Source organism: Homo sapiens, chromosome 4 (assembly GCF_000001405.40).
Source record: "Homo sapiens chromosome 4, GRCh38.p14 Primary Assembly".
Classification (NCBI taxonomy): domain Eukaryota; kingdom Metazoa; phylum Chordata; class Mammalia; order Primates; family Hominidae; genus Homo; species Homo sapiens.
Window position 1 is genome coordinate 107,286,461 of NC_000004.12, and position 25,840 is coordinate 107,312,300.

The following is a 25,840-nucleotide window of genomic DNA, read 5'->3' on the forward strand; positions in this document are numbered from 1 at the left end:
TTAAAAATAACAATTAACATTCACAGGTCAGTCACTTTTCTAGCCAATTTATTTACATTATCTCATTCAATACTAACAAAAACCCTATGAGATCATTATCTCATAGTTAACTATTGTGACGTCTATTTTAGAATTGAGGAACAGAGGATCAGGAGCTTAAATAACTCACTTAACATAAAACATGGAGTCAACTAAGGCTTCCATTTAACTAGGCTATCAAACACAAAGCCCTCATTCTTACAATACTCTTCTAATGATAGTTCCATCTTTATGAACATTCCAGGTAATTTTATTTCACTTTTCACTGAGAACAAAACAAGTTACAATTTGATAGCACAATAGGGTGACTATAGTCAATAACTTAATGTATATTTCAAAATAACTTAAAGAATGTAATTAGATTATTTGTAACTCAAAAGATAAATGTTTGATGGGATGGATACCCCATTATCCACGATGTGCTTACTTCACATTGCATGCCCGTATCAAAATGTCTCATGTACCCCATACTTATATCCTATGCTGACTACTTTGAAATTGTCTTATTTTATTTATATATATATATATGGGGTAGGTGTCCACTTTGCTTCTCCCATATTTATGTGTGTGTGTATATAGCTTATATATTTGAAAGAGTAGCAAAAGTGAGAAACAGAAACCCTATACATGTGTAGGTGTATATACATATATATAAGTAGGTGTATCTGTATGTGTATATATACACACGTATATATGCATATATATACACACACACACAACTATATACCCATAAACATTTTTTAAACAACAGGTTACAGGTAACAATGTGTCAAAGATGGATAGTTATGTAATGAGTGGCTTCATGAAAATATAATTTTTATTTCATTTAAATTTATAATTTTAATAAAAATAAACAAGAGGCTTTGTATAACCTCATAAACTATCCTATGCTGGACTACTTTAAAATTGTCTAATTTTATTAATGCACTAAGATCTTAGATGAAGCCCGTGTTTGTGAAGTTACCTATTAGGTCAGCATTTTTACAATGGATCTCTCCTGGTAACCTGCCCCCAAAACCTAAGCATTTGTAGCAATCAAATCTTCACCTATTGTTTCAAGATTAGTACTCTCTTTGAGGAAGAGATAAGGAAAGTCAAGAATACTTCATATGGGGTGTCTTCATCTTTCAATCTGAAAATGCCAAAGTTGAAAGCCTAGCTGGCAAAACTTTAAATTCCATTACCTCCCAAACCAGAGAGAGCTTACGGATCTAGGCAATGAAGTCAATTACCAACATCACTAATGTAATTTTAATTATTCTGCATGGCAATCACTTGCTATAAGGCCATAAATGTCAAAAAAAAAAAAAAACCCACGAAGTTTAGGATTTGCAATAATCAGGCACAAGTATATGATTGGGCGGGATAATTGAGTTATCAGTACTTAGAGGAAACAACTGCCCATAAAACAATAAAAAGCATTTTGTTTAGGCTGACTCTGAGAAAAACAGCATAACATGGAACTATAATTTAAAGTAGGAAGAAAGTGAGCGTGAGAGAAAGAGTGAGAGAGAGGGGAGGGGAGCGAGAACGTACAGACTATGAAAGAAGCTTAGGATGCAAGACATACTGTTTTTGTGTAAAGCACATGTTGACTTGGGAAGAGTTAGTTGTCACCAAGTCACTGCAGCACGCTTGTAACATGATGCCTTTTAAAGACCAGAGATGATGCATAATTTACAAAATGCCACAAAAATACATGAATTGTAAATCAGTCTAAAAATTTAGAAACTTAAAACAGCTAGGTAACGACAGAAAATACAAGTATGAAATATATCATCAAGTTAGTAAAAGAAGCAATAGCTTTAAGGAGACTTAACAGAGAAGTTGCCCCCGGAGAACAAAAAGGAAGCACAAAAAAGAAAAGATAAGTAATAGACTAATTTAAATATGTATTACCTCCTTTTTTTTTTTAGACGTTCTCACTCTGTCACCCAAGCTAGAGTGCAGTGGCATGATCTTGGATCACAGCAACCTTCATCTCCTGCACTTAAGCAATCCTCCCACCTCAGCCTCCCACATAGCTGGAACCACTAGTGTGTATCACCATGCCTAGCTAATTTTTGTATTTTTTTTTTTGTAGAGATGGGGTTTCACCATGTTGCCTATGGTGGGTGACTTGACTGCACATCTTTTTTTCTGGGTAATTTTAGTTTGTAAATGGCTTAGCCAAAATATATTTGTAGAGCTGCTTCACAGAAAGGTTGGGGATTCCTGCCATCTGATGTACAAAGACAAAAACCAGAGTGATTCCTGTTGGGCCAGAAATTCAAAAATCCTACTATGGAAAATTGCTACTTGAAAATCCCAGTGGTTCATAAAACATTAATTGCATGCTGAATTAGATTACTACTTAAAATCTTTAAACTGGGAATCCAAAAATTAATTATTTCTGTAAAATGCTAGCAGATTCTCACATGAAACGGCTAGATGGAGATAAAGAGAAAGAGCTGGTCCCAAAAAATGTACGCATGAGTGAGTATGAATGTGTGTATAGATTTTTTTTAACTTCTGTTAGTCTCACAATTCAATTAAATGAGAAATCATATTGTTAAACCCAAGGGTCAACCCAGACTCAATTTTTTTTTTGTATTCCCAGATGGTCTTATGCTTTGCCATTATGCAAGGATTAGAAAAGGACAGTATCTTTTTCTCTAATTACTGAAATATAATTGATATAAAATAAAGTGAGCATATATAAGGTTTACAGTTAATCGGTTGTGGCATATGAATTCACCTAGGCAGCCATTCCTATAATCAAAAGAGTGAGCATATTTGGTTCTCTGTTCCTGTGTTAGTTTGCTAACGATAATGGCCTCTAGATCCATTCATGTCCCTTTAAAGGACATGATCTCTTTCTTTTTTATGGCTGCATTGTATTCCATGGTGTTTATGTACCAGAATTGTTTCACCCAGTCTATCATTGATGGGCATTTAGGTTGATTTCATGATGAGCACACAGGGACACATAGAGGGGAACAACACTCACTGGGGCCTCTCAGAGGGTGGAGGGTGAAAGGAGGGAGATGATCAGGAAAAATAACTAATGGGTACTAGGTTTAATACCTGGGTGATGAAAAAATCTGTACAGAAAACCCCCATGACACAATTTTACCTATGTAGCAAACCTGTGCTTGTACCCCAAACTTAAAATAAAAGTTTTTTGTTTTTTTTAAAGAAGCATATCTATCACCCTTAACACTTTCTTTGTGCCTCTTTGTCTTCCTTCCTTCCTCCTCTCCACTCTCTGTGCCATCCCCAGGCCACCATCAATCTGCTATCTGTCACTATAAAATAATTTATATTTCCTGGAGCTTTTTATAAATGGGATCATACACTATATCCTTTTTTCTTGTCCAGCTTATTTTGCTCAGTATAATTATTTGGAGATTCACTCATACTGTGTGTACCAGTAGTTTTCTGCTTTTCATTGCTGGGCAGTGTTCCACTACATTGACATAACACGATTTGTTTTTTCAATTACCTGTTACTGAACATTTGGGTTTTTTTAAGTTTAACATTTTAAGAAACTGCCAAATAACTTTGCAAAGTGGTTTTACTATTCAAATTCCCACCAATAATGTATGGGAATTCCAGTTCCTCCACATCTTTGTTAACATGTTCTATGGTCAGTTCTTTAATTTTAGCTATTCTAATAGATGTGTAGTAATAGTATGACATTGTAGTTTTAATTTGCATTTCTCTATTGAGCATATTTTTATGTGCTTATTTATTATCAAGGTATTTTCTTTGATGACATGTCTATTCAAATATTTTACACAGATTTGATTGGTTTATTTTCTTATTGCATTTTGAATTTTCTACACATTCTGAATAAAAGGCCTTCATCAGATATAAAGTTTGCAAACATTTCTCACAGAATATGAATTGTCTTCCATTCTCTTATGGATTCTTTTCAAAACATCAAAAGTTTTAAATTTTGATGAAGTCTAATTTATTTTATATGGACTTTACTTTTAATGTGGTATCTAAGAAATCTTTGCCCGACACAACATCATTCTCCTATGTTTTTTCTTAAAGTTTTATAGTTTTAGCTTTTATGTTTAGGTCTATTATTCTGTCATGCACATCCATGTGCAGAGGTCACCAAACAGGCTTTGTGTGAGCAATAAAGCTTTTTGATCACCTGGGTGCAGGTGGGCTAAGTCCGAAAAAGGAGTCAGCGAAGGGAGATAGGGGTTGGGCAGTTTTATAGGATTTGGGTAGTAGCAGAAAATTACAGTCAAAGGGGTTGTTCTCTGGTGGGAAGGGGCAGGAGTCACAAGGTGCTCAGTGGGGGAGCTTCTGAGCCAGGAGAAGGAATTTCACAAGGTTAATTGCTCAGTTTAGGTGGGGTAGGAACAAATCACAATGGTGGAATGTCATCAATTAAGGCAGGAATCAGCCATTTTCACTTCTTTTGTGATTCTTCAGTTGCTTCAGGCCATTTGGATGTATACGTGCAGGTCACAGGGGATATGATGGCTTAGCTTGGGCTCAGAGGCCTGACATTCCTGTCTTCTTATATTAATAAGAAAAATAAGAAAAATAAAACAAAATAGTGTTGAAGCATTGGGGCAGTGAAAATTTTGGGGGGTGATATGGAGAGATAATGGGCGATTTTTTTCATGGCTGTTTCGAGCAGGATTGGGGTGGCATGGGAACCTAGAGTGGGAGAAATTAAGCTGAAGGAAGATTTTGTGGTAAGGGGTGATATTGTGGGGTTGTTAGAAGGAGCATTTGTCATACAGAATGATTGGTGATCGCCTGGATGCGGTTTTGTATGAATTGAGAAACTAAACAGAAGGCACAAGGTCCAAATAAGAGAAGGAGAAAAACAGGTATCAAAGGACTAAGAATTGGGAGGACCCAGGACATCCAATTAGAGAGTGCCCAAGGGGGTTCAGCATAATATCTTGCTTGGTTGGTGAATTTTGGGGCTCTATCCTTGACAGAGTCCTCCTTTTTAAGTTGGAGGCTGAGCTTGGTGAGGTGTGTTTTTAAAAGACCATTAGTCCCGTTCTACCTTTCCTGAAGATTGAGGACGGTAAGGGGTATGAAATTTCCATTGAATACCAAGAGCCTGAGAAACTGCTTAGCTGATTTGACTAATAAAGTCCGGTCCATTATTGGACTGTATAGAGGTGGGAAGGCCAAACCGAGGTATTATGTCTTACAGAAGGGAAGAAATGACCACTGTGGCCTTTTCAGACCATGTGGGAAAGGCCTCTACCCATCTAGTGAAAGTATGTACCCAGACAAAGAGGTATTTTAGTTTCCTGACTAGGGGCATGTGAATAAAGTCAATTTGCCAGTCCTGGGCAGGGGCAAATCCCTGAGCTTGATGTGTAGGGAAGAGAGGGGGCCTGAACAATCCCCAAGGAGTAGTAGAATAGCAGATGAAACACTGAGAAGTGATTTCATTGAGGATAGAGTCCTATGATGGAAAGGAAATGAGAGGTTGGTTCTAAGAGGTGGGCTAGCGGCTTGTAACCTACATGGAAGAGGTAATGAAATGACGACAGAATAGAACGGGCTTGTGAGGCTGGAAGGAGATTCTTTTTTGGTCTAAGAACCATCTGCCTTGAGTGGTGAGGGATCGATAGGTGGAAACTTCAGTGGGAGAGTAAATAGGAGTGACTGATGAGGAGAAAAACTGGCCATGAGGGACAGAAGTAGGAATATTGGCTGCTTTTTTAGCTATCTTATCAGCATAATTGTTGCCTTGAGCAATGGGGTCTGAGGCCCTTTAATGGCCTTTGCAGTGAATGACTCCAGCTTTTTTTTTTTTTTGGAAGTAAAGCAGCCTTGAGAAGAGTTTTTATTAAAGAGGTATTAATGATGGAGGACCCTTGTGTAGTGAGGAAACTTCTTTCTGCCCATGTAATAGCATGGTGGTGAAGGATGTGGAAGACATACTTGGAATCAGTGTAGATATTGACACATAGTCCCTTTGCCACACAGAGATATGAGGGCTTGCCCAAAACTGTGAGGTCAAGTTGTTTGGACAGAAAGGCTACAGGGCTCGGTCCTGGCTTTTGTGTAAGGAATTCCAACTGCATAGCCCTGTACTTTGGCTGTGTGTAATGAAAAGAGTTGGGATGAGTTAGGGAGAGCTAGTGTGGAAGCAGCTTCTAGGGCTGTTTTTAAGGAATGGAGAAAGGAGTGGAGAAAGGATTTAGGATGTATGGGGTCAGCTATGTTTCCTTCTGTGAGTTTATATAATGGTTTAGTCAGGATGGTAAAACTAGGTATCCAAAGGCAAAAGTACCTAGCCATGCCTACGAGGAAAAGAGCTGTTGTTTTGTAGAAGGGGTTGAGGTTTGGAGATTAGCCACACACAATCAGTAGGGAGAGCACATGTGTTTTTATGAAGAATTATGCAGAGATAGGTAATAGATGAGGAAGAAACTTAGGCTTTGGAGGGGGATATGTGATATCCCTTTGAGAATAGATATTGGAGGAGCAGGAGTGTGTCCTGTTGGGAAGATTTGTAAGAGGTGCTGCAGATAAGGTGAATATCCTGAACTAGCCCATAAGATTTGTCCAGTTTCTGGACAGGTGGGGTAGGGGAGTTGTAAGGAGAATGTGTAGGCTTTAAAAGGCCGTGTTGTAACAGGCAAGTGATAGCAGGCTTTAGTCCTCGTAAAGTCTGTTGTGGGATGTGGTACTGGCATTGAGCCAGGTAAGAGTGATTAGGTTTTAATGGGATCGTAAGGCATGCCTGATGGGTCACCAAGGAGGAAGTAGAGGTGTCCCATACTTGTGGATTAAGGTAGGGAGACACAAGGGGAGGATGCAAAGGAGGCTATGAACTGGGGAAAAGGGTGGCAATAAGGTGTGGCTGTCGTACAGGAATAGTCAGGGAAGCAGATAATTTAGTTAAAATATCTTGAGTTAATAAGGGAGCTGGGCAGGTGGGGATAACTAAAAAGGAGTGTATAAAAGAATATTGTCTAAATTGGCACCAGAGTTGGGGAGTTTTAAGAGGTTTAGAAGCCTGGCCGTCAATACCACAGCAGTTATGGAGGCAAGGGAAACAGGCCCTTGAAAAGAAGGTAATGTGGAGTGGGTAGCCTCCATATTGATTAAGAAGAGGACAGACCTACTCTTCATTGTAAGAGTTACCCAAAGTGTCTGTGATGGTCCAGGAGGCTTCCAAGGCAATTGGGCAGCATCAATCTTCAGCCGCTAAGCTGAGAAGATCCGGGAAGGAGTCAGTCAGGGAGCCTTGGGCCAGAGTTCCAGGGGCTCTGGGAGTGGCTGCCAGGTGAGTTGGACAGTCCGATTTCCAGTGGGGTCCCACACAGATGGGACATGGCTTAGGAGAAAACCTTGGCTGTGGGCATTCCTTGGCCCAGTGGCCAGATTTCCAGCACTTGAAGCAAGATCCTGGGGGAGGCAGTCCTGGAGGAATGCCTGGCCACTGTGGTTCAGGCATTTTGAAGTTCTTGTGTGCTGTAGATGTGGCTGGGGTTTCTCTCACAGTGGAGGCAAGTAATTGCAACTCAGAAATACGTTGCTACTTGGCTGCCTCTTTTATTGTACACCTTGATGGCGAGGTTAGTTAAGTCCTGTTGCAGGGTTTGAAGGTCAGAATCTAATTTTTAGAGCTTTTTCTAATGTCGGGAGCTGGTTGGGTAATAAAATGAATATTGAGAATAAGAGAGCCTTCTGGCCCCTCTGAGTCTAGGGCGGTAAAGCGTCTAAGGGGTGTTGCCAAATGGGCCATGAACTGGGTTGAGTTTTTATGTTTGATGAAAAAGAGCCTAAATTCTAACTGATTTGGGAGATGTCAGATAAAGGAAAAGGAGCATTAACTTTGGCTATGCCTTCAGCTTCAGCCACCTCTTCAAGAGGAAATTGTTGGGCAGGTGGGGGAGGGCTAGTTGACGAATGAAACTGTAAGCCAGACTGGGTGTGAGGAGGGAAGGTGATAAAAGGACTATAGGGTGGGGGAGTGGAGGCTGAGGGCTGAGGAAGAATTGGGGCCAGGCTCGGCCTGGTGAGGAGCAGCCTGGGGAGGAGTGGAGAGGTCGGATGGGTCCGTAGAAAAGGAGGATTCAAAGGACTCAGAGCTTGGAGTGGAGACTGAAGGAACAGACAGGAGAGAAAGAAGAAAGATTTGGGACAAGTCACATTGGGAGCAGAGGCTAGGGAGGGACCAATGTGTAAAAGGATGCCTGGACATCAGGCATCTCAGAACCATTTGCCCATTTTTCAACAAAAATCATCCAGATCTTGTAAAATGGAGAAATCCAAAGTGCCATTTTCTGGCTATTTAGAACAATTATCGAGTTTGTACTGGGGCCAAGCGGTGTTGCAGAAGAAAATAAGACGCTTAGATTTTAGATCAAGTAAGAGTCAAAGAGGTTTTAAGTTTTTGAGAACACAGGCTAAAGGAGAAGGGGTAATGGAGGGTGGAAGGTTGCCCATAGTGAAGGAGGCAAGCCCAGAGAAAAGAGAGGGTAGAGACATGGAGAAGGGGGATGGTGAGCAGCCAAAGCAGGCATCCCCGCAATTGACTTGCCACCAAGGGAATGTGGGTGAATGACCAAGACAGGCATCCCTGTGGTGATCAGACACCAATGCAGTGTGGGTGAATAATCAGGCAGGCATCCCCGTAGTGATTAGACACCAAGGGAAGACCGTCTTCCCAAGTCCGTGACTGGCACTGGAGTTTTGGGTCCATGGATAAAATGTGTCTCCTTTGTCGCTACTAGAGAGGAAAAAGAACTGGAATTGGAAGGACAGGGGGATTGAAGGGTAGCGACAGAGGGAGATAGAAGGGTGCAAGAGAGGCTGGAGAAGAGAGTGAAAAGACTGCTTATCTGATTTGAAATTGGTAAGATGTTCCTTGGGCTGTTTGGTCTGAGGACCCGAGATCGTAGGTGGATCTCCTCACAGAGTGAGGACAAGGACAGAGGACTGGTCTCCCAAAGGAGTCCTCCTGTCCCAGGTCTTCAACACCAAATGTCATGCACGTCCGTGTGAAGAGACCATCAAACAGGCTTTGTATGAGCAATAAAGATTTTAATCACCTGGGTGTAGGTGAGCTGAGTCCAAAAAAGGAGTCAGTGAAGGGAGATAGGGGTTGGGCAGTTTTATAGGATTTGGGTAGGTAATGGAAAATTACAGTCAAAGGGTTGTTCTCTGGTGAGCAGAGGCAGGGGTCACAAGGTGCTCAGTGGGGGAGCTTCTGAGCCAGGAGAAGGAATTTCACAAGGTAATGTCATCAGTTAAGGCAGAAACCAGCCATTTTCACTTCTTTTGTGATTCTTCAGTTGCTTCAGGCCATTTGGATGTATACGTGCAGGTCACAGGGGATATGATGGCTTAGCTTGGGCTCAGACTATTCAAATTCCCACCAACAGTGTCTGGGAATTCCAGTTCCTCCACATCTTTGTCAACATGTGCTATGGTCAGTTCTTTAATTTTAGCTATTCTAATAGAGGTGTAGTAATAGTATGACATTGTGGTTTTAATTTGCATTTCTCTATTGAGCATATTTTTATGTGCTTATTTATTATTAAGGTATTTTCTTTGATGACATGTCTATTCAAATATTTTACACAGATTTAATTGGTTTATTTTCTCATTGAATTTTGAGTTTTCTACACATTCTTAATAAAAGGACTTCATCAGATGTAAAGTTTGCAAACATTTGTCATCGAATATGAATTATCTTCCATTCTCTTATGGATTCTTTTCAAAACATCAAAAGTTTTAAATTTTGATGAAGTCTAATTTATTTTATATAGACTTTACTTTTAATGTGGTATCTAAGAAATCTTTGCCCAACACAAGGTCATCCTCCTATGTTTTCTTCTGAAAGTTTTATAGTTTTAGCTTTTACACTTAGGTCTATTATTCCTTTTCAATTTAATTAATTATAGATTCAAATCTGTTATTTTCAAGTGGATATCTAAATTTTTAGCTCTATTTGTTGAAAGGTCTCAGTGGGCTAAAATCAAGGTGTTTGCAGAGCTGTTCCTTCTGGAGACCATAAGGGAGAATCTATTTCTTTGCCTCTTCTATTAGGTTGGTGCAAAAGTAATTGTGGTTTGTCATTGAAAGTAACGGTAAAAACTGCAATTACTTCTGCACCAACCTAATAGCTTCAAGAAGCTACCCACATTCCTTGGCTCAAGATCTCCTTCTGTCTTCAAGCCAATATGTCAGCCCAAATCTTTCTCAAATAGCCATCATTCGGGTTTTCCCTCAGCTGCCTTTCTCTCTCACTTATAAGGCAATTTCTGATTAGATTGAATCCATCTGTATAACCTAGGCTATTCTCATCTCAAAGTCAGCTGATTTGCAAACTTAATTCTATCTACATCTTTAATTTCCTTTTCTGTATAACCTAACATATTCACAAATTCTAAAGATTGAATGTGGACATATTTAGGGAAGGCATTATTTTGCCTACCACACATGTTTGCTTAAATTCATGTTTTCCTATTCTAAAAACTATTCTCCATCCTTTACAATAGGTCTGGTACTCTTATCAATTATTCTACCACTCATCAGAGGCTAATCAGTTAGCTTTGTCTTGTGGCAGTAAAATAAACAATACTTTGCTTTAATAAATGAAAGTCAATGCCAATGTCATAATGTACAATAAACCATACATTTAACTTGGAAAACCATGTATCTATTTCTATTTTTTGAGAAGCACCATTGAACTAGCTAAACAGCCATCATAGTAAGTGCTTAGGTAAAAACTGAGCAAATATCTATTATAGTAATTTCATTAAAATGTATTCCTTCATTGAATGGGTTATATGCATTAACCTTTCATGTATTCTCAATTTTAAGCATATTTCATTGTGTAAAACTAAAATAATGACTATAGTTACTATTTACTTTGTGCTTTCTGTGTGCCAGAGAGTCTGTGAAGCACTTATTACTTTGCTCAATCCTTATGACAATCGCCAGGAGGTAGGTTTTGTTATCCCAATTGCAGAGCAAGCTGAAGTACAAAGGGAAAGAGACATTAAATAATGTGCCTATTGAGTAGAGGAGCTACTGCTTGATGCCTAGTCCATATTTTTATAACCATGATACCACACTGCACTGTAGAGAAGCACACAGTCTGGCAGGTACAACATTAGGAGAAACCCAGAGACCAGAACTCTTGTTCTTAAGCTTCATCTTAAGCCAGCCCCGGACTTGTCCACAATATTCTTGCTTGCTCACTTTTGACCTTTATTAATCAGCTTTTGTTAGGTTATGCTGCAGAAAAAAAAATCCTTGTGGCTTTCAACAACAAAAATTAATTTCTCCCTCACATTGCATGGACCTCACTGGCAACACCTATCTGAAATAGGCTGATCACCTTGTAGAAGAAGAACAAAGATGGCAACATCTGCAATGGTTCTTAAAGCTTCCACTTCAAAGGGGCATGCATCCACTCACTTCTCTTTTGTCTAAGTAAGTCACACAAGGTCAAACCTGACATCCGCTAAGCAGACATATAATCCTCAAACAGAAAGAGGCAGCAAATTTGGAGAACAATCAGAAAATCTATCACAACCTCTTACTTCATCTTTCTATTCCTCGAGTTTAACCCTAATCCTCCCATTTAGAATCTTTACCCATTGCTTTCTCAGCTCTCAAACTCACCCTACATCTGTCCTTTGTCACACAATGTACTACTTTTTTCTTCTTCCCTGTCTCACTGCTTGCCAGGTGTACATCTGCTAAATGAACCCCTTCAGTTAGGTCTGCAGATTTTCCCCTATAAATGGCTCTAACAGAGCCCCAGTGTCCAGGGATCCACTTCTCTGGCATTAGTTTACATAGATATTTCCTGAATTTACTGAATGACTTCAGTCTGAATCTAAAAAGCACATTCCATACTCAATAGCAGATAGCCTAAAGGAAAGGGATCTCTACTATATGATAAAAATGTACTCTAGCTACAGAAAAAAGTTAATCAAGAAGAAAACATTTTGGGGGCATAATTTTCATTTCTGCCTAATTTTTTACACCTGCAAATGCTACAGTCGTTATTCCTTGTATGAGGAGAAATTGCCATTATTGTGACCTGGGCTTTTTATTTTTATAAAAAAATAGAATAAACTTATTCTGTATTACTGAAACTTCTGTTGTTTTCACTATCAATTTTAAGATTAGTTGTGACTTTGCATAGGTCTATATAATCTTTTAAAAATAGTTTATAACACAATTTGACTTACGTTGTATACTTAAACTGCTTTAAATTATATTGTAAACTTGTCATCTCTCTGGTCAAGGAAAAGCTTTGATAAAATGTTTTGATAAATAGATGATTAAACAGATGAAAACATACTCCTTAGAGTTGTCCTCTTCAACATGGTAATATGGTATCCATCAGCCACACATGGATATTGAGCACTTAAAATGTGGCTACTAAGGCCGGGAGTGGTGGCCCATGCCTGTAATTCCAGCACTTTGGGAGGCCAAGGCGGGCAGATCATCTGAGATCAGGAGTTCAAGACCAGCCTGACCAACATGGAGAAACCCTGTCTCTACTAAAAATACAAAATTAGCCAGGTGTGGCGGCGCATGTCTGTAATTCCAGCTACTTGGGAGGCTGAGGCAGGAGAATCAGTTGAACCCAGGAGGCGGAGGTTGCTGTGAGCCAAGATCATGCCATTACACTCCAGCCTGGGCAACAAGAGTGAAACTCCATCTCAAAAAATAAATAAATTAATTAATTAATTAAAATGTGGCTACTTCAAATCCATATGTACTATATGTGTGAAATATACATTGGGTTTTGTAAACTATATGTAGCCAAAAAAATTTTAGTGAAAAATTTTTATATTGATTAAATAATGAAATGATAATGGTTTATATATATTTGGCTAAACAAAATCTGTTGTTAAAATTAATTTTAACTTTTTTAAAATTTGCTGCTATAAAATTTAAAATTACATGTATGGTTTGCATTATATTTCTATTGCAAAATGCTGTCTTAGAGAAATGGATGTAAAGGTTAGCCAATGCTGGTTAGCGAGGCTAATTAGGTTCCAAGATAAAAACACAGGAGAGAGCTGTGTCCATGGCAATGATCTAATCAAGGCCTCTTCATGGTCCCATTGCTGAAAGGTGACATTTGTCAGGAAGACTATTCAGGATGCAAAGGGAGATACAGCTAATTTTACTGTAGACTGAGAGTTTGTAAGATAATTCATAAACAAAGGAGAAGCAGGCAAAACATGCCACTGAACTGAAGATTTCCTTGGTGTTCATTACTCCATGAATTATACCAGTGGAAATCTGAACTCTAGGGGAGGCATGCGATCATGAGCAGTGAAGTGTAACTCAGAATATAACACAAACACTCAGTCATGAGCCTGTGCTTACCATTGTCTTGGCACACAGTTGGTATTCAATTAATAATTGTGGGATGAATAAATGAATGAATCAGAGCCACAGCAGGTCAACAAGGAGACAGAAGCGTTGGTGAACTAGCAGCATTTAGGTGAGTTTGACATAAATTTAGCCTCTTTTAGCCTGCTGATTCATTCATTTCTGGTTCTTAGAGGGGCTGCTGTACTGTGTGCCCAGATAGAAGTACATATGCTGAGGAAATGTTTACATAGGAAAATATGATCAAGTTTTAAATCTCCAATGCCCTCTCTAAACTCTTGTTTCATTGGTTTAAGCCGTTTAAGTTTGAGTTTTGTTATTATTTTACTTAGTGTTACTTTGTTTTGCTTAGACTTGAGTTCCAAAATCTGAAATTAGATGTGTACTAGTCATGCAATCTGAACAAAAATTCTCGAATCTAACAAAGCCTAACTTATCCAGAGTACAGTTAATCTGGCAATGTTAAATACCCAAGAACCAGGAAGTAATCAATCAGTATGTTGAAGCATCAGTAAGGATGTCTCAAAATCCATGCCTCAGAACCCATGTATTTAATTCATAGAAGTGACTATGATATTCAGGTTTCTTTTCTGAAGAAAATTAAAATAAGAAATAATAATAGTTTTTGAGTTCTTACTGGACGAACACTTTATTGTATGAAACATATTATTTTCATTCATGTTCTACAGATGAGGAAACAGGGGATTAAAAATTTGGGCTTTGACCGAGTGTGGTGGCTCACGCCTGTAATCCCAGCAATTTGGGAGGCCAGAGGCAGGCAGATCATTTGAAGTTAGGAGTTCAAGACCAGCCTAGTCAATACGGTAAAACCCCATCTTTACCAAAAATACACACACACACAAAACAGCCAGGTGTGGCGGTGTGTGCCAATAATCCCAGCTACTTGGGAGGCTGAGGCAGGAGAATTGCTTGAACCCAGGAGACAGAGGTTGCAGTGAGCCAAGATCATGCTACTGCACTCCAGCATGGGTGAAAGGGCAAGACACCATCTAAGAAAAAAAGAAAAGAAAAGAAAAGTTGGGCTTAAATTCCTATGTGTCTGACTCCAAATCCAGCAATATTAAGTGTCATACTATGCTACTTCCTTAGCAGATTAGCAGAACCACTGCAAAAGAAGGACATATCAGAAGTAGATAGGAAGTGATAGTTAATGACCTGATGAATAATGCTAGCCTCTGCCTTTAAGTCAGGTCAAGTGAAAAACTAATTGCAATATAATGTGACTTATTGTTATGATAGAGATACACATAAAATGCAAAGTGAATTCATGGAGCTGCCAATCCAATCTGAATTTGGGAATGGAGGTATGTCAAGAGTGGCTTCTTAGTGAAGTCACCTGGATGTGAGATCTGAGAAACAAGTTATTCAGATGAGACTGTTAGGAGATGGTTATTCCAGGCATGCACAAGATTACTGGCAAAAAGTTCATGGTATGTTCAAGAACCGAGTAGAATACACTGTACAAGGGGAAAGGAGGTAAGAGAAAAGGCTGGAGAGATGAGCCAAGGTCAAGTTATTGTGGCTCTCACATATTAAACTGTACGTAATAGGCTAAAGGAGACACAGAGCATTTAAAGAAAGTTATGTGATTAAATTTGCATTTTTACAGGATCTCTACATACAGTGTGAAAAAAATAAGAGAAGAAATGGAAGCCTAGAGGCAAGATGACAGAAGAAACTGTAGTGTTAATCCAGATAAGACATTGAAGAGCTAAACCAGGATTTTGGTAAGACAGATGGAGAGATGTGAATGGATCTGAATGCTACCAAGAAGGTCAAATTCAACGGTGCTTACAGGCATACCTTGGAAACATTGCAGATTTAGTTCTAGAACACCACAGTAAAGCAAATATTGCAAGAAAATGAATCACATGAATTTTGGGTTTCCCAGCGCACATAAAAGTTATGTTTACACTATACTATAGTCTAAGTGTGTAATAGCATTATGTATTTTAAAAGTACATGCCTTAATTAAAAAATATTTTATTGCTAAAAATGCTATCATCTGAGCCTTCAATTAGTTATAATCATTTTGCTGATGGAGGGTCTTGCCTCAATGTTGATGGTTGCTGACTGATCAGGGTAGTGTTTGTTGATGGTTGGGGTGGCTGTGGCAATTTCTTAAAATAAGACAACAATAAAGTTTGCCACATCAATCAATTTTTCCTTTCATAAATAATTTGTCTGTAGGATGCAATGCTGTTTGGTAGCATTTTACACACAGTAGAATTTCTTTAAAATTGGAGTCAATCTTCTCAAGCCCTGCCATTTCCACAGCAGCTACAATTACTTCCTCCACAGAAGTCTTGAACCCCTCCAAGTCATCCAAGAGGGTTGGAATCAACTATTTCCAAAGTCCTGTTAATGATGATATCTTGACCTCCTTCCATGAATTAATTACAATTGTTCTTAATATCATCTAGTTTGGTGAATCCTTTCCAGAAGGTTTTTAATTTATCTTGTCAAGATCCATCAGAGGAATCACTATCTATGGCAGTTAGAGTCTTCTGAAATGTATTTCTTAAATAATAAGACTTGAAAGTAAAAATTACTCCTTTATCCAGGGGATGCAGAATGAATGTTGGGTTAGTGGTCATGAAAGTAACATTAATCTCCCTGTACATCTCTATCAGAGCTCTTGCATTGCTAGGCGCATTGTCAATGAGCAGTAACATTTTGAAAGAAATTTTTTTTTCTGAGTAGTAGTTCTCAACACTGGCCTTAAACTATTCAGTAAGCTGGCCAGGCATGGTGGCTTATGCCTGTAATCCCAGCACTTTAGGAGGCCGAGGCGGGTGGATCACCTGAGGTTAGGAGTTCGAGACCAGCCTGGCCAACATGGCCAAACCCCATCTCTACAAAATTACAAAAATTAGTTGGGGGTGGTGGTGTGTGCCTGTAATCCCAGCTACTCAGGAGGCTGAGGTAGGAGAATTGCTTGAACCCAGGAGGTAGAAATTGCAGTGAACTGAGATCATGCCACTGCACTCCAGCCTGGGAGACAGAGTGAGACTCCATCTCAAAAAAAAAAAAAAAAAAAAAACAAATCAGTAAGCTATGCTGTAAAAAATAAAATAATATAAAAGTGCTGTCATCCAGGCTCTGCTTCACTTATAGAGCACAGGGACAGTATATTTAACATAATTCATAAGGGTCTTGGGATTTTTGGAATGGAAAATGAGCATTGGCTTCAACTTAAAGTCACCAGCTACATAAGGCCCTAACAGAAAGTCAGCCTGTCCTTTGAAGCCTGAAGTCAGGCACTGGCTTCTCTTCTCTAGCAATGAAAGTCCTAACTGGCATCTTCTTTCAGTAGAAGATTGTTTCATCTACATTGAAAACCTGCTCTTTAGTATGTTCACCTACATTAATGATCTTAGTTAGATCTTCTGGCAGCTTCTCCGTCAGCACTGGCCACTTCACCTTGCACTTTTATGTTATGGAAATGGCTTATCTCCTTAAATCTCATGAACCACCAGTGCTAGCTTCCAACTTTTCATCTGAAGACTCCTTCTCTATGCCTCCAATAGAATTGAAGAGACTTAGGGCCTTGCTCTGGATTAGGCTTTAGCTTACGGGAATGTTGTGGTTCGTTTGATCTTCTATCCAGACCACTAAAACTTTCTTTACATCAGCAACAGGGCTGTTTCACTTTCTTATCATTTATGTCTTCATCAAACTAGTACTTTTATTTCCTTCAAGAACTTTCCCTTTGCATTCATAACTTGGCTAACTGTTTGGTACAAGAGGCCTAGCCTTTGGCCTATCTTGGCTTTTGAAATGCCTTCCTCACTAAGTTTAATCATTTCTAGCTTTTGACTAAAAATGAGAGATATGTGACTCTTCCTTTCACTTGAACATTTAGGGGCCATTGTAGGTTTATTTATCGGCTTAATTTCAATTTGCTGTGTTTCAGGGAAAAGAGAGGCCTGAGGAGAAGGAGAGAGATGGAGAACAGCATGTTGGTGGAGGAGTCAGCATACAAAGTTTATAGATTAAGTTTGTCATCCTATATGGACAGTTTTTGGGACTCCAAAATAATTATAAAAGTAATATCAAAGACCACTGGTCACAGATTACTATGACAGATATAACAATCATGAAAATGTTTGAAATATTACAAGTATTACCAAAATGTTACACAGAAACAAGCGAGCACATGCTACTGGGGAAAGGGAACCTCTAGATTTGCTTGCACCAGGGTTGCCACAAAACTTCAATTCATAAAAAGTGCAGTATCTGCAAAATGCAATAAAGCAAAGTGCAGAAAAATGAAGTATGCCTGTATTGGCGTGTAAGTAATAGGGGGAAAAGATTACTCCTTGCATGATGCCAAGATTTCTGGCCTGGGAAGCTGGGTATATGGTGATGTCATTAATCAATATAATAAACACAGGAGGAACAATCTCAGAGAGAGAGTGACAAGTTCCTCTTCTCACTTGCTGAGTTTGAGGTGCCTCAGTGGTATCCAAGAAGAAAGATAACCTGTGATCAGCTGAATAAATAGTTCTGAAATACAGAAAATGCATCTTGGCTAGAGATGCATAAATTTGGAACTATCACAAAGGGGACAAATGCCTAAGGATCATTCAAAGATGAAAATTAAAGGCTATCCAGTAAACCAAAAGATTATTTCTCCAGAGATTCTGTATATACAATAATTGTCTTATTATACACAGCATTACAGTTTACAAAGTACTTACATAAAATGATTCATTTGATTCACAAAAATCCCTCATGGGAAATAATGTGCTATAATTCTCACATTACAGTTAGGAAAATTGAGGTTCAATTTTGTTAAGAGACTCATGAGAGGTTGCCCATCTAAAGTTGTGGAGACAAGTCCAAATCATAAGTTGAAGACTTCAGATGGAGTCTCTTTTCACTAAGTCAAATTTCTATTTCCAATATTTGGTACAAATTCCAAGCTAGAGAGAGTATGAATTTTGACCTGAGTAGTAGGGCTGAAACATGAAAATGAGCCTAGAATTTATCCACGACTAGCCAAATTTAGGGGTTTGGAGCCATTTAGATCAATATTGAAGATACCAGCTTAGACTTTTAACCTTGTCTGCCAACACCAAACACTAAAACGGTATCTGCAGCCAGGCTGTCTTACAGATTAATAGGTCAGGCTGGAATAGAGCCAAAATTATCAACCTTCCAGGCTGTGTGACCTGAAAGCTTTCAGATCTTTTCCAACAAAGCCCATTAAAACGATCTTAAGCCCTTGAGGCTGAAAACAAACGTGACATTCCGCTGCATTCAATAACTATTTGCTTCTGAGCATTTGTTTGCCATTATTTTCTGTGGCCCCTTTGTAGGATTTGTGTTGAGATTTCTCATATTGACAGGCCAAAATAAATTCATCATAAATTCTTTTGATGTATGATTAATTCCTTTCTGAATAAAATTCAAAATAGGGTAATAAAGATAAGAATATAAACAATAGAGAAGTTGTATTCAATTAACTGTATTTTTTGTCCACATGAAATTGGAGGCACAGATTACTAAAGATTATACAAATTACTATCCTAGTTAGAAAAAAATAAACCAGAAATATCCATTTGATTTCCTGGACTTTTTCATTCAAAAAAAAAAAACAAACAAAGATATAGCTAGAACAATGTTTTGAATGTATGAAGTCCCTGAATTTATCTTGGTGGATTCCAAAGTATTAGTTAACTAACAAGTAATTTTGGTTAAACTTATATTGTAATTAATATCAAGATATGTCCTAATTAACGACCTTAAACAAGTAAGTATTGGAAAATTCTTCTAAAATTCCATTTTAGAAGTTTGTACTTCCCTGAATCTAATAACAACAAAAGATACTGGATCACTTAGTTTTTGCTGCATAACAATAACCCCTCAAGACATTAAAACAATAACCCCTCAAAACATTAAAACAATAACCATTTACTTATCTCCAAATTCTGTGGGTCACCTGTGTCATTCTTCTGATCTGGACCAGTTTGATTGCTCTCTCTTGGGTTCTTTTATGAGTTTGTGTTTAGCTATTTGGTCTGCTGATGACTCTATAGCCTAGGACCTTTCACTTATATGTCTGGCAATTAGCAGTCTATCATCCTGAATATTGGAGCAACTGGTCCACATGTTGCTCATCCTCTAACAGAGCAGTCTAGACTTCTACAGATAGTGGCCATAGAATTCCAAGAACATCAAGAAAGAACAGACTTCACTGCTCAACTGCTTTTCATGCCCCTGCTTGCACCATATTTGCTAATATCCCATTGACTAAAGAAAGCAACTGGCAAAGGTCAGACTCAAGGTGTGGAGTAATAGATGTCATTTTCTTGATAGGAAGAGTGCAAAGACATATTGGAAAAGGATGCACCTATATGTATGGAAGGAATTTGTGTCTGTCTCTTTCTATAACCTACCACAAAGGCAAAGGTATATACAATAGCTGTCTTGTTATACACAGCATTATTTTTAAAATCCAACTACCAAAAAAAAAAAAGAAACAGAAAATGCTGCATAAAGACTCAGCAATTAAACCCAACTACCTACCACAATTCACATTGTTGAAAGTTAGTCATGAGAATTTGTATTAATACTCCAAACCTGGGTAGAAAAACATTAAATGTGTATCCTTCTCTTGTTTCTCTTCCTGAAATGTAATGAAATGTACAGAAAGTTAAAAAATAGTTTTGACTTTCTCCTACAGAATTAAGAATTCTACTACTGCTCCCAGAAGAGGAATCACCTGAAAGTTCCAAACATTTCAGAAAAGAGAACAGAGCCCAGGTGTTCTAAAAGAGACTAAACATTTCCTCCCTCTCTTCCTCTCCTCTTGTGCTTTCCCTCTTTCCCATAATAGCCTATAGTTTAGAGAATACAATAATGTTGGAATAGAGTCAAGAAGTCACCCATTCTATACAACAGCAAATTGAATATATAGACAAAGCCACCCAAGCATAATCAAAATCCTAAGAAATAACAGAGAAACTTAAAGAAATACAGAGAGGGATTATATTAAAAGGCCATGGATGCAGATTATAAGAAATTATAACTGAAGAACAGAAGAAAAACTTTTACAATGTGATAATAACATAAATTCAAGATCATAAAAGCTTAAAATCAAATAATAAAGCATTAGAATACCATAGAAAGGAAATTCAAATGTAAAATATTGAGGGTAAAAACAAAATGTTTTTAGAATTAAAATATAAATTTCAAAGAGCAATGAATTCAATAGTCACCACTATAAAGCTAATTATTGTTACAGAGGGAAAGCTTGAGATAATCATGGAAGATGCACATGGAAAAAGAAGTAATGGCATTTGGGAAGCAATTAGTAAGAGAGAAAAGCAAAGATGATTCAGTTAAGGATTATTATTCACAAAGTTAAAAGTTCAATAAATGGAATAAAATTTGTATTCACTGATTTAATAAATAAAGTTTTGAAATAAAAAATTGAATTTTCTATTGGAAAAATAAATGCAATGTGTTCCAGAAATTACAATACTGCTATTTGTGTGTATATATACACACATATACATATATACATACATATGTGTGTATATATACACATATATATACATACATATGTGTGTATATATACACATATATACATACATATGTGTGTATATATACACATATATACACATACATATGTGTGTATATATACACATATATACACATACATATGTGTGTATATATACACATATATACACATACATATGTGTGTATATATACACATATATACACATACATATGTGTGTATATATACACATATATACACATACATATGTGTGTATATATACACATATATACACATACACACATATGTGTGTATATATACACATATATACACATACACACATATGTGTGTATATATACACATATATACACATACACACATGTGTGTATATATACACATATATACACATACACACATATGTGTGTATATATACACATATATACACATACACACATATGTGTGTATATATACACATATATACACATACACACATATGTGTGTATATATACACATATATACACATACATACATATGTGTGTATATATACACATATATACACATACATATGTGTGTATATATACACATATATACACATACATATGTGTGTATATATACACATATATACACATACATGTGTGTATATATACACATATATACGCATACATGTGTGTATATATACACATATATACGCATACATATGTGTGTATATATACACATATATACGCATACATATGTGTGTATATATACACATATATACGCATACATATGTGTGTATATATACACATATATACGCATACATATGTGTGTATATATACACATATATACGCATACATATGTGTGTATATATACACATATATACGCATACATATGTGTGTATATATACACATATATACGCATACATATGTGTGTATATATACACATATATACGCATACATATGTGTGTATATATACACATATATACGCATACATATGTGTGTATATATACACATATATACGCATACATATGTGTGTATATATACACATATATACACATACACATATATATACACATATATACATATATATACACACATATATACATATATGTATATACATATATATGTATTTTTATATATACGTATATATACACATATATATACACACATATGCGTATATATACACGTTTGTATACATGTGTATATACACATATATACACACGTATGTGTATACATATGCGTATATACACACGTATGTGTATACATATGCGTATATACACACGTATGTGTATACATATGCGTATATACACACGTATGTGTGTGTATATATATGTGTATGTGTATATATGTGTATGTGTATGTGCATATATGTGTATGTATGTGTATCTATATGTGTATATATGTGTGTGTTTATATATATATATATATATATATATGTGTGTGTGTGTGTGTGTGTTAAGGTTTTAGACTTTAAGATGGAATAAGGAATAAGATGGAATAAGGAAAACGCTCTGCAAGCATCCAAGCTTTAAAGCAAATCATTTACAAGGCAAAGAAATCAGGTTGGCCTCAAATGTTTCCACAGCAATATTTTATGCTAGGAGACAATACAGCACTAGCTATAAAATTCTGAGGGAAAGTTTGACACAAGAATATTATACTTAGCTTAAATGGTGTTTATGTATGAAGGCAATAAGTAGGCAATCATTCTCTTGAATTTGTTGCTCTTTGAAATTTATATTTTAATTCCAAAAACATTTTGTTTTTACCCTCAATATTTTATATTTGAATTTCCTTTCTACGCTATTCTAATGCTTTATTATTTGTTTTTAAGCTTTTATGATCTAGAATTTATGTTATTACCTCACTGTAAAAATATAAAACAAGATGGAGAATACACAATCCATGAGCCTTTCAAAAAACTACTTGACAAATATATCTACTCAAAACAAATCTCAAAATAAGGAACTCAGGAATAACGATGCCCTGATGGTAATTTAAAATATGGAATTAATTTTTAAAACACTAGGAGAAGTATGATTATTGCAACAAATGGGTCTTGATTGCCCTGACAACGAAGAAAAACTATAGATTTTTCACAATGATATTGGCTTATGACCAACTCTTTTACTGAAGAGAACCAACTGCTACTGTCTGAAATTGAACCAAATACTATAGTTAGAAAATTTGAAAAACACAAATACTTCAACTTCTTTATATTCTATTCTGTTTACCTATTTTCCTTAAGTATTTTAGCAGAATCTTTTAGGAAGAATATTGCTTGTGATGAAGATATACACATTACGATATAACTGTAGACATCTGTATACATGTTTATACATAAATATGTATATACGTACTGTGGGTGTATATATATCCATATACATGAAGTTTTAAGATTTATCTTTAGATTCAGTTTGATTTTCTTATGTTTAATTGATTCAAATTATATATAAACTTTTATTTAAAGTAACATCTACAACATAATCCAATTTTTATAAAAGTATTTATATCTCTTTATCTTTCTTCTCTATATTTATGTGAATAAAAAGATATCTGTAATGTTGTTTACAAAATGCTAATGATGTTGGGTTTTGGGTGGTAGAAGTAGTAGAATTTTTTAAAATCTTTAAATTTTACATTTCCTGTGCTATTTGAATTTGTAGTATGAGTTACACAACAATTTCATAAAACCTATACCATGATTTATTTTTTGTTAAAAACCAATGAAAATGTAAAGCAAATGCACCAAAATTGTCAACAATGGTTCATTCTTACTGGTGGGAAAATGAATTAATATTATATTACACTTTCTCTGTTGTAGTTTTCTGTAAATTTTTTAAATTCCTAGAACAATTTTTGGTTTCATTTGAAGAAAAAATGAATATGAATCACAAAATCTAATGCCTATTTATTTAAAAAATTGTCTTCTGTCGTAGCTCAACCCTCCAACAAGAATTTGAGTTCAATTTTTAGAATGTTCTTTCTTCCTCTTTTGTTACCAGATACAAAAACTTGTGAGGAAATGCCTAACTAAGTCTCACCAAGAATTAAACCATTGCATAGAAAAAATCTGCGAAACATTTGAAATGTGTCCATGTATTATACAATCTGGTTAATATGAAAAAGTAGAATTTTTATTTAGCTCAAAATTCTGTTAAAGAGATACCTGATTCGAGGCTAAATGATTAGTGCAATGTAGCACATTATAGGGAGGGGAAGATAGATAGTTAATGGCAATATAGAAGAAAATATCAAAAAACTACCTAAGAGTTTTGTCAAGTAGTAAAATATCTGTTGTTATGGTGAGATCATAAGCACCTTTGGCAAGATGCTGGAAGGGCAGTGTATTAGTCCGTTTTCATGCTGCTGATAAATACGAACTCGAGACTGGGCAACTTACAAAAGAAAGAGGTTTAATTGGACTTACAGTTCCACGTGGCTGGGGAAGCCTCACAATCATGGTGGAAGGCAAGGAGGAGCAAGTTGCGTCTTATATGGATGGCAGCAAGCAAAGAGAGAATGAAGAAGATGCAAAAGCGGAAACCCCTGATAAAACCATCAGATCTGGTGAGACTTATTCACTACCAAGAGAACAGTATGGAGGAATCGCCCCCATGATTCAATTATCTCACATCTGGTCCCTCCCACAACATGTGGGAATTATGGGAGTACAACTCAAGACAAGATTTGGGTGGGGACACGGAGCCAAACCATATCAGGCAGGATTATGAAAAAGAACAATAATCACAACCTACTAATTATCCTGCTATTGAACTGCAAATTGTAGGCAATAAGTAAAAGTTGGAATGAAAATAAAATCACAGAGCAATAATGACTAACATCAGTAAAGAGAGAAAAAGTAATCTGGTAGGAGGCTGCCATTTAAACTTTCTTGGTTCTTTTCTCCCCCTTGCCTCTATCTCCCTGATGGTTAGAAGTTCTTATAGAGAATCATTGTCTCTGGGAGACAGAAATGCAAGTCCAATAAAGTTCAGAGACTGAGCATATGAATCCAAGAGTATCCTGTAAGAACTTTGAGAAAGTCAGGGATCCCCAAGCAAGTCCTGCATGAGATAATAAAAGTATCATTACAGTGAGAAGCTAAAATACAAACTAACAAAAATGCCTCTGTATTGTCAAAATAAATCAAAATAATATGAACTCTATCCTTCCTTCTATTTGGTAATAAGTAAGGAACTGTATCTTGATGAATGTTCTCTTCCAAGGCAGGCGCTTTATGTTGATGGGATCACATAATCTTCTGACACAGAAGGTATTTACTATATAATTTCATGGATAAATTAGAGAATGTATAGAGAAACTAAGCAATTTGTTCAAGGCAACACAAATGTAGAGTTAGGATTCAAACCCAAGTAGATCTGCTTCCAAAGCCATGCTCTTTCTACCACCTAACATTAGAAGTCAGTGTTACTTAATTAAGCACCAAAATTTGGCTTATTTTTTATGTGATAAAACTGGAAAATCCTAGGGTGGAGCCCCAGAGAAATGCCAAGGATTCTTTTTATTATAATTAATCTGGATTTAATTCCAATTTTTAAGGTGGGGTTGTTTAATGGATGATTCAAAAATAATTAAATTGTGGTTTTGAAAAATATTAATTTAGTCAAAGCAGGGGCATATCCTGATGATAAAGGAATGATGTTGATGAAATGAATTTCTGTAATAGAAAATAATCTTGATGAGATCTAGACTGATTTTGACACAAGGATTTTAAATACATCTAATGTTTGTTACAATAGAGTTAACTATCAACACATTTCCTTTAAAGTTCTTCCAGACAGTCTGTTTAAAATGACATATTTTCTAAAGAAAAAATATTCATCGTACAGCCAAGCTATAAATGACCACATGTTGGTCAAATCTGACATGGAAATACTAGAATCACTTCTGAAAAATTACTCTTTTCTGTAGTTAT

The 25,840-nt window shown here is 36.6% G+C and overlaps 1 long non-coding RNA gene across 2 annotated transcripts in view, besides 1 other annotated feature; it reads left to right on the forward strand.

Annotated features, from left to right (window-relative positions):
• LOC102725220 (uncharacterized) overlaps positions 1 to 15,415 on the forward strand; it is a 43,302-nt gene extending 27,887 nt beyond the window's left edge. The window contains exons 1-2 of one of the 2 annotated variants that reach the window (NR_188366.1): positions 90 to 283; positions 15,029 to 15,415. This is a non-coding gene — a long non-coding RNA (uncharacterized LOC102725220). Of the gene's footprint in view, positions 1 to 89; positions 284 to 15,028 lie in introns of those variants that run through there. The other variant, NR_188365.1, reaches the window with a different exon arrangement.
• Positions 4,151 to 4,676: an enhancer, noted in NCBI's record as "NANOG hESC enhancer chr4:108211768-108212293 (GRCh37/hg19 assembly coordinates)". NCBI's record gives its function as "activates a minimal SCP1, AML or CMV promoter by ChIP-STARR-seq in naive and primed H9 embryonic stem cells {active_cell/tissue: H9 hESC(naive and primed)}" and the evidence as "EXISTENCE:reporter gene assay evidence [ECO:0000049][PMID:30033119]".
• Positions 15,416 to 25,840: the final 10,425 nt, after the last annotated feature.